This window comes from Homo sapiens, chromosome 5 (genome assembly GCF_000001405.40).
Source record: "Homo sapiens chromosome 5, GRCh38.p14 Primary Assembly".
Classification (NCBI taxonomy): Eukaryota; Metazoa; Chordata; class Mammalia; order Primates; family Hominidae; genus Homo; species Homo sapiens.
This window is the reverse complement of record NC_000005.10, coordinates 127,431,200-127,444,576: the sequence shown is the minus strand read 5'-3', so window position 1 is coordinate 127,444,576 and position 13,377 is coordinate 127,431,200. Positions and strand designations below refer to the sequence as shown.

Here is a 13,377-nt window from a genome sequence, read left to right as displayed (position 1 = left end):
AACTTTCACTTAAGCTTTCAGGCTGCAGTTTTATCATCTATAAATGAGAAAAGAGGCCTCCATGTCACTGCTTCCAGCTCAAGTAAATGTTCCTATGATTTTATGATTCTAAATGCTGAAGGACCTTTTTACAAAACAATCTGCCCTGAAACACAGACCACCAAGGATAATGTAGTGAGATTACAGAGTATTTGTAATTATGACGTGATAATGAAAGATCACATTCTATTGTTATGACAGTCAAATGTAAATCATAAGCATGTAAAAGTCATTTTACCAAAGAAATTAAATGTTGTAAATATTTACATGGTCTGCAGTTTAAGATTACTCCATCTACAACAGTGTATCAATTTTCTAAAGCCTTTTATAGCCCAACTGCTTATTGCCTACCAGGGAGTACCACATGCAGTAAGAGCTGTGGCTCTCTGGAGGGCATGCTTCAGAACCATCAGAAGCACTTTCTCAAAGTCCCCAACCCTGGAATCGGAATTTCCCAAATAGGACCATGTACCTGACAACTATTCCCAGGTCGTTATGACATACACCCCAATTGAAAACCAGGGGCACAAGTTTTACAAAAAGTTAAACATATGTCTACTATATACCCCAATTATTCTACTCCTAGGTATTTACCCAAGAGAAATGAAAGCACATGTCCATGCAAAAACTGGATTCACTCTTGTTCATAGCAGCTTTATCTGTAATAGCCCCAAACTGGAAACAATCCACCTGTCCATCAGCACATGAACAGGTAAACAAATTATAGTATATCCATACAATGGAATAGTATTCAGCAATGAAAAGAACTGAATTGTTGATATGTGCTACAACATGGTTCCATTTCAAAATAATTATGCTGAGTAAACAAAGCCAGACCCAAAAGAGTACAGTATGATTTCATTTATATAAAATTCTAGAAAATGAAAACTAATCTATACTGACAGAAAAGAGATGAGTGATTACCTGGGGCTTAAGGGGTGGTAGAAGTAGGGAGGGGCATGAGGAAACACATGGTGATGGATATTTCATTTATTATGGTGATGGTTTCATAGGTATATAGATAGTCGAGATTTTATTAAATTGTACACATTAAATAGGTGTGTTTTTTGTGTATCAATTACACCTCAATAAAGCTGAAAAAAAATCATAGACCCAGTAGAAAGTTCATGAGTTTTGGAATAACAAAAATCTGGCACAAAAGCTGTGACATATTCTAGTATTAGCTATGTGACTTTGGGAAAATTACTCAGCCTCTCTAAGCTTTTGTTTCTTTATCTGCAGGACAGCAACAATAAGGCATTCATCTGGCAATTAAATAAGTAACCAATTATGCCATTTAGAGTTGTGGTGAAGATTCTGCTGGATAACATAAGTGAAAATACTTCACATTGCCTGGTACATGGTGTTCACACAATACTGCAGTGCTACAAACATTAGCTAGTATATTTACCTTGATCACATCTCGCTCCCTTCCATCCGGGGCTGCAGTAACAGGTCCCAGTGATGTGGTCGCAGGTGGAGTTGTTCAGACAATCACATATCTGGCGACAGCCATAGCCATATGTTCCTGAAGGGCACTCTAGAGAAGGAAAGTCAAATGTAGCTTTCCAACCTTGGGAATTTGGAGCAAGGCTGTCTCTGACTGCAAGCCCTGCACATCTAGAGCTGAGTCCTTTCAGGGGATTCCTATTGAGGCTGACTTGTACCCCCAAGAGTGTCCCAGAACTGGACAGCATTCCTGGAATCATGGTGGCACTCACAGTCCAGACTGCACAGGGCTAGAGACAGGGCTGCTCAACATTAGAGCTCCTGACACTTTCAGCTGCTACATACTTACCTCTATGATGTGTATATGGAGAGTCTGTGGAATTCCCATGGAACAGATGAAGATAATCACTAAGGGCAATTTGATACAAGTCCACCAGGCAAAACTGTAGGCTGGAAGGGGCCTAGACTGAAGAGCACTAAAGATGCTTTCTTGAGAACATATATATTTTACTGTAGGCTCAGGGATCTTCATAAACGCACATTCTCAATTGAATTAGCCAGGAATAGGGGAAGATGCAAACAACAAGTTTTGCTGATTTTCTAGGTAAGAACTTCATTTGCTATGGAGTGATTCAAACTCTGGATTTTGTTGAAGTCTTGAAGACGAAAGTAATAGGATTCTTACTATGCGGTCTTAATAAGAGTTAGGCATGAATTTCAAAGGATAGTGTAAGCATGTTAAATCTAAAAATCTTCGTGACAAAATATTGATATTTTTCATAAAGTGAGCAGCAGGGGGCAATGTGCTATTATTATTAGAACTCTCTGTCAAACACAGGGTTTCTGTTTACAAATAAGCATTGGGAGAAGTCTCCAAAAATAGGGACACTTTAATTTGCTGTTGAGAGTAATCATGGAAGCACTTAAGAGGTTTTCTTATTTAATAAGACCTTAACCAGTCATCTGGCATTCAAGTAAAATTTTGAGCCTATTCTGGTTTCCATGCATATTTAGACATTTATACACAAACACACAATATTTATATGCACAATAGAGTTATGTATGCAACTGTGTCACTCAGTCAGGATCTGTTTTCATGACTCAATGAAACAGTGATGCAAAACTAAAATTGGGCTGTCTCTGTTGTGAGCTGATTCCTGGACGTCACTTTTGTTATATTTGCTAGAAAGAGGATATGCAAAAATACCCTAGGGTTTAGCACATAAAATTGAGGCAACCAGGTTCAGAGTGGCTCTGTGAGGTGCCAGTGGAGTGGGGTGGGGAGGGGTGCTTTATTGTCAGAGTCCTGCTATCCTGATCAATCTTTCCAGGCCACACCACTCCTATGGCCATAATCTTGGCAGATCCTTCCCAAGAGTACAACCTCTGGTGAACAGGAATTGTTCTTCACCTTTTCCCGCCCAAAAGGTTTTATCATAAGAAAGTGGGTCTGATACAGCCCTAAGCCCTTATTTATTTATCGTGAATACTGAAAGAAAGTCATAGAGGAAAGGAATAATAAACTAATTTGCAATATTCAATTTTATTAAGACTAATGTTTTTATAACTCTGTGAGGGGATGCATAGCTAGTGGGGTGGAAATAAAAAAATAAGGATGAGTAATTCCAACGGCATATTCTCCCCCAGTGGGACTTAAACAAAATTTTAAGGCAGTATGTTGTCTGGAAGGTTGTTAAGACTAAGATGAGAAGTTGTTAATGGAAGCAGTATAAAAGTACGATCTAGAGAAGGTTGTTGAAAGGGTGGCAATGTTTGCATGGATGTGTTCCCTCACCAGCAACAGGGATTGGCCCTGGGCCACCAGCCCTCCTCCCCACCGAATGTACTGTCCTCCAATGTGAGACCCGGGTTCTGCCTCTGCCATGAAGAAAGCTCGACTGGATCTTTTAAGGCTCTGAGCAGCCACATTCCAAAAATAAGAAGGAGAGGAAGGGAGAGCCCAAAAGAACAGAATGGAAAACTTGAATTCTGTCTTCATTCTTGTAGTCACACCTCCTCCGCCCAGAGCAGTGAGTAACCAGCGATGATCCCAGGGAGGCCTGACCTCTGGGAGGGGAAGTCAGTCATGCTGAGAAGTAACCAGCCATCAGCTCAAACAACCTCGGAGTGGTGAATTCTGCCTTAATATTTCCTGGCATCTAGGAAATGTGATTCTAGAGGAAAAAAATACCACCCAGTGATGCCACACTCTCATACTTACTCTGCTCACAGTGCCGTCCCATGAATCCAGTGCGGCAAGTACACTGCCCAGAAATGTGGTCGCAGTCAGCTCCGTTTTGACATTGGCATATCAGTGCACAATCTTTTCCATAAAACCCTAGAGGACATCCTGTGGGAGGAGGGAGGACAGTAGGAGTCAAGAGGCTGCTGAAGAGAAACACTTGGAGGCTCGTGCCTCCAACATATTTGTGTTTAAACTTGAATGACACTGAGCCATCAGAGAATACAGTGAATAGTACATATCTGAGCTTGCCACAAGAGCTTCTTTGAAGTCCCAAGACAGGGCTCTTGCAAGGAGGTTGTAATTCATAAGCAGGAGGCAGAAGAGTTCCATTCCTGTCAGTGTAACCATCACTGGTACCCCTGGAGGCAAGACTAGTGCCTTCTAACAAAATATCCCTTCAATCCTGGAAGAATAGGACATTTCCTTTCATTCTTTCACATTTCTACTAGAATCCTGGACTCAAATTCCAATGGACTGAGACGGGTACTTTATATTAAAATTACCTGTATGCTTTTACTTGTAGTACAGAACATCTCTATTGTTGCTACTAGCCTTGTCCACTGTATCTGTTATTATCTTAGATAATATCAACTTCCCTGAAGAGGTGTACTAGAATGCTTACCTTAAAAAACAATTGTACTTCACAGGTGCTTTGTAAAAAGCAATAACCCTTCACACTGCTGCATGATTTTCAATGCTTAGACCGGCGAGTCTCTTGAGCTAAAGACACCCACAAATTCTGTTGGCTTACATGGGCTGGCAGCTGCCCTGCAAGAGTGTCTTGGGGATCTCTGGCGTGATGAAAGATTCAATGCAGGCTGATTCAATGATTGTTTCCAAATATTACATATGCTTTTCATTTTCTCATTTTCTTATGGAACTTTCAAGAAGCAGAGGCAGTGCCCAGATGCCAGTATGCACCGATGACTCCCTGCTGTCATGCATTTATTTAGCACCTACTCTGTGCCAGATTCTTTTCATGCGTTCTCTTGTTTAATCTTTACAGCAGGCCAGAAATGCAGGGATGGATATTCCCGTCTTGTAGACAGGAACTAAGCCCCAAGTACCCTAAGTCACACAGCTGGCAACTGGCAGGACGGCAGGGCCATGATTCAAACACAGGGAGGTCTGGCTCTGGACCCCATGTTGTTCCCACTATATCATGTTACTTGCACTTGAAAAAGGGTTCTCTCTTTGAAGCACGTTCTAATTTTAGAATTATAAATAATATCTTACAAGTACCTTTCTCTAAGAAGTTAAACAATATTTATAGATATACGAACTCTGAAGAATATGCTTGGGCCAGCTACCTTCCTTGCCAATTATCCTTTTCAACTCTTGGTTCAAGGTCTACATTATCTTCTAGAAAGTTTCTAAGACTTTTTCAGCCTATTCTTTAATTATGTACTCTAATTAGTATTAAATAAGAATTGCTCAATTTCAGACCCATCTGTCCTCCTCAGCTTCTTGCTATTATTTTAAAATATACGCTATTATTAGTACTTAACCATAACACATGCCTTCCTTTCTTGTCTCCTTTATTCAACCGAAGGTAAGAGGTCAGAGAATGATCTTCCTTCCCCAATGATGCTCAGCTTTGGAGTAAGTACTTTGCACACTATATCCTATCATGCTAAAAGCCTAATGGAAGAAAAAATGGTTAGGATGCTATGAATTACAAAATGGGGAAAAGAACTAGGGCAGTGGCTCTCAAAGCATGGTCCCAGCCTGGCATTACTACCAGTTGATAAAAATGGCAATTCTCAGGTGCCAGCCCAGACTCGCTGCTTCCGGCTTTCTGGGGATGGAACTAGCTTCTGTGTTTGTTGTGTCCTCCAGGTGATTCTGAAGCTTGCTACCATTCGAAAAACACGGAACTCCACCTTTTCCAAGAGCGCACATTAAATCAGGCAGTGAGGCTTGTTGTCTTCTCTACCTTTCTAATCTCTATACTTATCCTAACTTTTGTGCTGTTAAAGGATTGAGAATTTGATCCATATAAATATGATTTGGTTAAAGGAGAGAAGAGAAATAAACTGCATACCATCACACAGCATTGCTCTACCTCAGTGGAGATAGAACCTAGAGACAGAATACTTGGAATGAAGTAGCTCTTAATCACTTAGAGAAATTTATATGTCTACAGGTCATTAGGAGAGGGAAGTACTCCAACCTCAGGGACCTTTGTTGAGCTCCAGTCACGCATGCGGAGGGTAAGGCTGTTTCCTCCTTGGACAAGGCTCCCCTTGGTGAGCCTCAGAAGGCTTGTCACTTACTCTGAGTGCAGTAGAGCCCTGTCCAGCCAGGAGTGCATTTACATTCCCCATCGTAGGCGCTGCAGAAAGCTCCATTATGGCAGTTGCACGTGTGGATGCAGTTTGGGCCCCAGTGGGCAGGTGGACATGCTGAAATTACAGGTATGGAGAAGTCCATCAGAGTTCTGAGGCCAATACTAAGTAGGGAGAATTCCATCCACCTCTACACATCTCCCTGCATGTGAGAGGTTAGCAGTGTACATCAGGACTAAGAAAGCACACTGCTCTGAATTCTGCACTAAATCCCAGATGGCCATGGCAACTTCAACAACGACTGTCATTATTGACATATGTATTCATTTACAACTGCAGAGTGAGGTGGCTGGGGCAAAAATCACCTCAAGTTTACAGATTCAGTTATTAAACAAACACATATTCAACACCTATTATGTACCCAACACTGTTCCAGGCCCAAGGGAGATAGCAGAGTATAAGACAAAGTCCAAACCATCCTCTGGAAGCTTCTATTTTGGTAGGGGAGGCAGGCAAACCAACCAACCAACCAACAAAATGAAAAATCAATGGTGGTAGGTATTATGAAAAAACATAAGGAGGATAAGGAAGACAATAATTTTGGGAGCTACTCCTCTGAGGAAGGCCTCTGTGAGGAGAGGACATTTGAGCAGAGATAAGGTGTGGAAAATGACTTGACTCAAGAGAGGTTAAAGGACCCAAGGCCATGTAGCTCATGTTCACAATTTCTAAATCCTGTACCCTTCAGTCTACTCTAGAGTTGCCACTTCAGGCTCCTTTTAAATATTGAGGTTCCCAGCGGTATGTAAAAATTGGTTTCCTTGTAAAAACTCTTAACTGGAAGATCCAGAAAATAATACAATTAAATCATTAGGGGTCACTGCCGATTGAAGAGACATCAGAAAGTCAGATAAAGTATCTGTGAAATAATAGCATAAGATCAGGGGGTAAAATAATTTCATTGACAAAAAATACTTTTTATTCATATTAATACTTTAGGAACATAATTGCATAAAAGGAGGACCACCTGTAATTTCTATACGGCTACCCCATAGGGAATGTGGACCTATAAAGACAATCAATAATACATATGAAGTAACTTTTTAAATGAAAAAAATTCTTCCATAATTGTGTGCACCATGTCCAAGAGCAAGGGGAAAATACTAGCTGACACTTGAGGTCTCGAGTGAGCATTGGAACAAATTTTCTAAATACAACACCTTAATTTTACAGATGAAGAAACTGAGCACACAAAAGGTTAATAGTGACTCGTACAAGGTCACATAGATTAATAATAATATTTGTTATTTGTTAGACAAATACAGCTTTCCCAAAGCCACAGTGAGACTCAGTGAAAACTGTTGAAGCGTCTAGCCCATTTGATGCTCAGTGAAGCACTCTTTACCTAAAACAACCTATTCCTTAGATGATATTTAACCAGCTTCTGTAAACCCATTTATGTTCACAATATATTTTTCTGAGGTAACCCACTGCCATTAGGTTTTTCTCCCTATATTTGTTATGATCAGAGAATGGGAATAAGCATCACTCAACTTTATATTCCCAAAAGGTAAACGTAGAGATAGTGCTTTAAAAAATCATTTTCCCAAGGACACCTGCCCCTTTAAATGTACCCCTTTAAGTTTTCAAAGTCTGTGTTTTCACTGTGAAGGACTTTGCTCTCTTTAGACAGGCTCACAATCAGCTAAGAAGAAATATGAAGATGGTTCCACAGAGTCCATAAGGGAATCAATGAAATCAATGATCCCCAGGAGAAGCAAAGGCTTTTGCCAAATAAGTCAGCTTCCTGTGGAGTGATTATTGGGACAGGCAACACTATAGTCTCCATTCATAGTTGTGTTTCTATTTTTATTCCTTTCAGCACATTCCTCCTCCAAATGAGGAAGGGACAAATTTCCAAAATAAAGACTACTTTTTAAAGGAGCAATATAAATCAATCATTTTGTGACAATGATATTGGACCTTTTACTCTTCCCAAACCCATACGCCCAACCATCAGTCAGAGCCCTTGCAACACATGTAGATTTAAACAGACTGATTTCTTCTGAAGTGATGCCCCCAGAATGGAGTGAAATCATATCGCATAACACTTCTTTCACCAAAGAGCTACACTTCTGAGATTTATTAGCTCTCTTCCCTTATTCCTAAAAAATGGGGTACAGCCTGGACTACTTATGGAAAAAATTAACATTCAGAAAAAAATCTTCCAGCAAAAAATATATTGCTCATCAATTAGTATTTGCAGGTTGCTTGTAACTGTGAAGTTTGAATTAAATTATCAATAAAGCACCATGTAAAATGACTGCACACAGTCATTCTTTGATTTCTCTTATGTGCATGATGGGGGAATTCAATATAAACTGAGAGTGTTTCATAAAATTTAAAATGAATGAAACCAGATTACTCCATACATATGCTATTTTTTGGTCAAAAGTTGAATACTTTTAGACATTGCACTGACCCTTTCAAAACATTCATGAATGACTTATAGTCGATGTCATTTTTTTCATGACATGGGTGCTCTAAGAGTCATCTATATAGTCCCTTATAGGGTCACACAATTCCTGTCTGAAATCCAGTGGTGTGGAAGGCACTTGGGTGATGCCAAGGTGAAGCTAAGCATATTAGGTGGGCAGTTCGCTCAGGTTCCCAATAGGTTTCTAAGGCTCACATCATTTAATTCCATTTTTTCTTTCTCTGTAATTAACTCTCCAGATAAACACAAAATGAAGAGATAGATTTCTCAATACAGCTGTTTTTGCTTTATTTCAATGGACGATGAATCACTGAAAAGGGGATAAGGAAAATGTTACATATTTAGGTTCTTTCCAAGACATTATTTGGATTTAAACATAGGACCATTGCATAGAGGTCGTAATGGGAAAAAAAAAAAGAATTTTAAAAAAAGAATTTAAAGTAGAATGTGTCTTTTAATTAGTCATATATTCTTTCTTGATTATATAAAAACACTCATACTTCAATCCTAAAGAATCTGAAAACAAACAAATAAGAACAGTTTATTAATTGTTCTCAAACAAGACTTACGTTGAGAGCAGTCACTGCCAATCCAACCGGGGTAACACTGACAAGATCTGTCAATGGGGTTACAGGTTCCGTTGTTGGTGCAGGTACAAATTCCTGCACAGTTTTTCCCAAATCTGCCACTGGGACACACTGTGAATAAGCTATAGGTCAGTAACTCACAATCAAAACCCCTCTCGCAGAACCCTAGAATCTTAGCACAGGAAATAACTTTAAAGGTCACAGGCCCAGCTGCTCATTGGTAGCTATCTCTGCTCAACAGCATCCTTCATCTTGAATGGGCTCATTTTTACAAATCCATGAAGCCAAAGATTTGCATTAAGGCATCACAAACCAGGGGACATCATTGCACTTCTAGAAATATGACTTCACGACTTCTTGCTCTGGGAGTCTAAAATTCTTCCGCATATTGATTTTTTATGGGAGGACATGTCCAGCTAAAACTGAAGAGTAGCACATCTCAGGAAATAAAAAGGTTTTGCTGGAGTGGCAAGCCAGCTTTTCCAAAGCTCAAAGTCCTATCTGAGAAGCTGCAGACACAGCACAGCAGAAGACATTCCCAGCAGACAGCTGAAAACATGGCCTTCAGGAAGGCCAAGGGGAGGCCTGAGGACAGACTCTCCGGGGCGTGCTCATCACCACCCAGCTGTCCGGGATGCTTCGTGCCTTACCTTCATTGCAGAGGGCGCCTGTGAAGCCAGGCAAGCAGTCACACAGGCCGGTGATGTGGTGGCAGGGCCCGCTGCTGTGAACGCACTGTGGGCATGTCTGGCTGCAGCGATGCCCATAAAAACCAGGGGAGCAGACTGAAAACAGAAGGGAAATCAGCAGTTATCCTTCTGAGATGCGTTTGTCTCGCATTCCAGATCGGGATCTAGTTAAAGTTTTAGAGGTTAAAAAGCAAAACCTTAAAAAAAAGTAAAAAAGATACGGAGAATTTTCCAAGTAGAAAACAAGAACAACAAAGGAACAAAGGAACCCTTTAATGAGGAAAAGAAGCCACTAAACTCTGAGTTTCTTGAGAGCAAGCAAATGTCTTAGTCTTCTTTATTTTCCCATTTAAGGCCCCAGTTAGCTCAAGTCTTGGCATAAAGCAGGGCTCCAGGAATTTTCATTGAATAAATAAAGAGATAAAAAAATTGAAATACTAATAAGTCTCAAATAAGTACTCTCAAACCATTTGTTGATTCTTTATTCTTTAAGAGTCGTTTCTGGCAATAAAAATCGATCAACAGTCAAAATTTGAAGATTTTTCCTCCTCAAAATGGTCCAGGTTAATGACTGTAATCGAAAAGTGATTAACCAAAATGCTATATACTTAAGTTCTTGCCAAGATACTATTCAGATTTAAATATATGATAACTGCATAGAATTCTTATGGGGGGAAAGGCAATTTAAAAAATTAGAATAGTATAACTTATAATTAGTTACATATTCTTTTTTGATTGCATTTACTAAAAGATTACTTAATCTTCTAACTCAGAAGTCTTAAGGACCAATGTCAACAGTCTCCTTTTTCAACTTTGCAATTCCATTTTCCCCATAGCACTGATTTTAAGACTACTAGCAGGATGAATGATTTGCCTCAAGGTTTGGCTGATGTTGACGTCTGGTAATTGAGGTAAGGCCAATGCCAAACTGCTGAATAACATATTTACAGGTCAGTGAATTTCTAGAACACCATTCCAAAGCTTTCAGGAAGGGTGAAGAAATATATCCTGATGGTTGTGCCAATGAGGCAATGAAGTAATTATTGAGAAGAAATGGTTAAATCCCCATCTGTTAGGTTAGTTCTGAAGGCTGGAAAGAATGAAGCTCTTAGGGAACACAGTTCTGCAAAGGACAAGTGAACCATTACACTCTCTTTTGCCTTCAACTGCAACAGGACATCACTATAAACTGAGAGGTGGGACAGAGATCATTATTCGATACATGGTGCCCAGGGAAGGGAAGGTGGAAATTACTGCCTAATGAGACACTTACTCCTCTGACAAGTGGTGCCTCGGAAGCCTGGTGCACACTCGCAGATGCCATCATCAGGGGAGCATGAAGCCCCATTTTTACAGTAGCAGGGCAGGGAGCAGTTGGGGCCCCAGCGTCCCTCAGCACACACGCTGTCACAGTGGACACCTGAAATAATGCACATGGGGCAAGGCTGAGTGAGAGGCAGTGCGGAGTTTCCGCAGATGCTAATTCATAGATGAGGACTAAGCTCACAGTGTTAAACCTGAGGATCACCAGCAGCAATGAATGGAGAGTTACCATCTTATAAACATCAATACACAGTATCATAACATTAAAATAATACCCAGACCGATTTTCTATGGAGTCATGAAGAACGAATAACAAACTTTTGTTATATTGATTTTTCTTCTTCAGGAGGAGGCAATAAAGTGGAAGCCCAAGGGCTCTGTCTATTGCAAGTAAAATTTATCAACAATACGATATCTTTTAGCCCTTGGTGACTTCCTCCTCCTCCTCCCATTCTTTGTTTTCACAGAGAAATAAAGTGTAAAAGGATAAGGCAATGAACAGTTCCATAAAATGTTTTACATAAAGAAAACCCTCCCCTGGATGAAACAAATAAACATAATCTTAAAATAACTTGATGGTGCATTGTGCAGAACAGAAAGATGCACTGACACGTGCCACCAAATTCCTCCTTAAAAATCTTACCTGACATTGGAGAGATATTGGCAGAATATCACAACTGACATTATTTGTAGCTGTTGTCTATGCTATCGATTATTATGAAACTGTATGCAGTTGTTTAACTCTAATTTTAAATACTGAGAAACTTTAGAATTAAAAAAAATGACAAAAGGAAACAGAAAGGAAAGCTAAGTTTGCAAAAATAAAACTAAAACCAGGTTTTATTTGAGATAAATAAAAGTCTCTTCTGTACATTCGTATTGGAAATACAACAGGGGCCTCTTTCTTGCCAGAATTCCTCACAACTCAAAGAAATGTTCTTCACATTGAAAGGCAATAAGTTATAATTAGTAGTGAACTGGCAGTTGCTGGCCTCAGACCAAATGAAAACACATTAAGAGCAAGCACGCAGACCCTCCAGGATTCCAGAATACTAACAACCACCCAGTACCACGATGCTGAGACGGTCATGTCTTGTGTTACAGTTTTGGCTTCTAAAGTAATCAGGCAAAAAGTCACCACAGTCTGAACCTTAACATGGAAGCAGTCCCAAACTATAATGTGAATGTTGTTAATTGGTACACCATTTCCGGTGAACACTGGAATAGCAAGAAGATCCACTTTTTACTGTTCCTGTTTTTTTCCTTCTGAAAGTCTCCCACGTGGTAAAGGCCATTAAATAGGCAAGAAAGCATGCAGACCTCATTGTGTCTAGCTTGACCCAACAATAGACTTTTATTTCATTCGGACCATGGGCTGAAGAAAGGAGACCAGGTCTGTTCATAAACCAATTGGGGTTTAAATGTTTCCCATAGAATAAAGTATGAAATCTGGGCCTACTATGTTGATTTTTTTCTTGCAATCATAAATATATTATTTTTTTTTCAAATCTCTTTTGAAAATCTGAGATGAAATTGCAAACTCTACCCTCACCAGATGTGATACATCAGCCACAGAATCTTACCTGGAATTTATATCCACACCTATACTGGGCAGAAGCATCAAACATATTAAGCAGTAAACCACTTCAAAATGAGGCTGCAAACCTAAACTTTGTTTTGAGAATTTAAAGAAAGTACCAACAAGGGTAACCTGCTAAACACTTCGCTCTCAGTTCAAATTCAGGTCCTAGACTCTGACCGTGAGCCAAGACTCCTGCTTAACAACAGCTAAGATGGGGACACCTGCTTATCACAGAGACTTAGACAATCAACCCAGGGCATTTTGGTCTGATGCCATCAAGACAAATCCCAACGAAGATTTTGAAGAAGTGGAAACTGAGTAATTATCCTGTTAATCTGACTGATCATCATCCTGAAAAAGCAGTCCCGATTTTTTATGCTTTTTTGTTAGGGTGGGGACTTGGGGGACAGGTAAGATTTAGCCATTTATGATGACTTAGTTTATCAACTACTTGCCAAATCACTACTTCAAATTGCACTTAATAAATTCAGTTAAGATGGAATGGAGTACACTTTAGGTCAAAAGTATTTGCTGCTTTTTTATATCATAGGTTATCATGATTTATGTATAGCTTAGCCTATTCTCAATCAGAGCATGGTAAGAAAAATGACTACAGGCCAGATAGGCAAATCTGAATAAAGAGATCCTCTCTTTCATAACTTATTCTTCTTCCCTTAA

The 13,377-nt window shown here is 39.7% G+C and overlaps 1 protein-coding gene across 5 annotated transcripts in view; it reads right to left on the bottom strand.

The window, feature by feature from the left end:
• Nucleotides 1-13,377, bottom strand: part of MEGF10 (multiple EGF like domains 10) — a 231,923-nt gene that overhangs the window by 16,646 nt on the left and 201,900 nt on the right. For all 5 annotated transcript variants that reach the window (XM_017009987.2, XM_011543694.1, NM_032446.3 and 2 more), the window contains 6 exons: nt 11,068-11,214; nt 9,756-9,890; nt 9,088-9,216; nt 6,010-6,138; nt 3,710-3,838; nt 1,451-1,579 (listed from right to left, as the gene is read on the bottom strand). In XM_017009987.2, the coding sequence (XP_016865476.1) occupies nt 1,451-1,579; nt 3,710-3,838; nt 6,010-6,138; nt 9,088-9,216; nt 9,756-9,890; nt 11,068-11,214 (798 nt within the window). The remainder of the gene's footprint in view (nt 1-1,450; nt 1,580-3,709; nt 3,839-6,009; nt 6,139-9,087; nt 9,217-9,755; nt 9,891-11,067; nt 11,215-13,377) is intronic.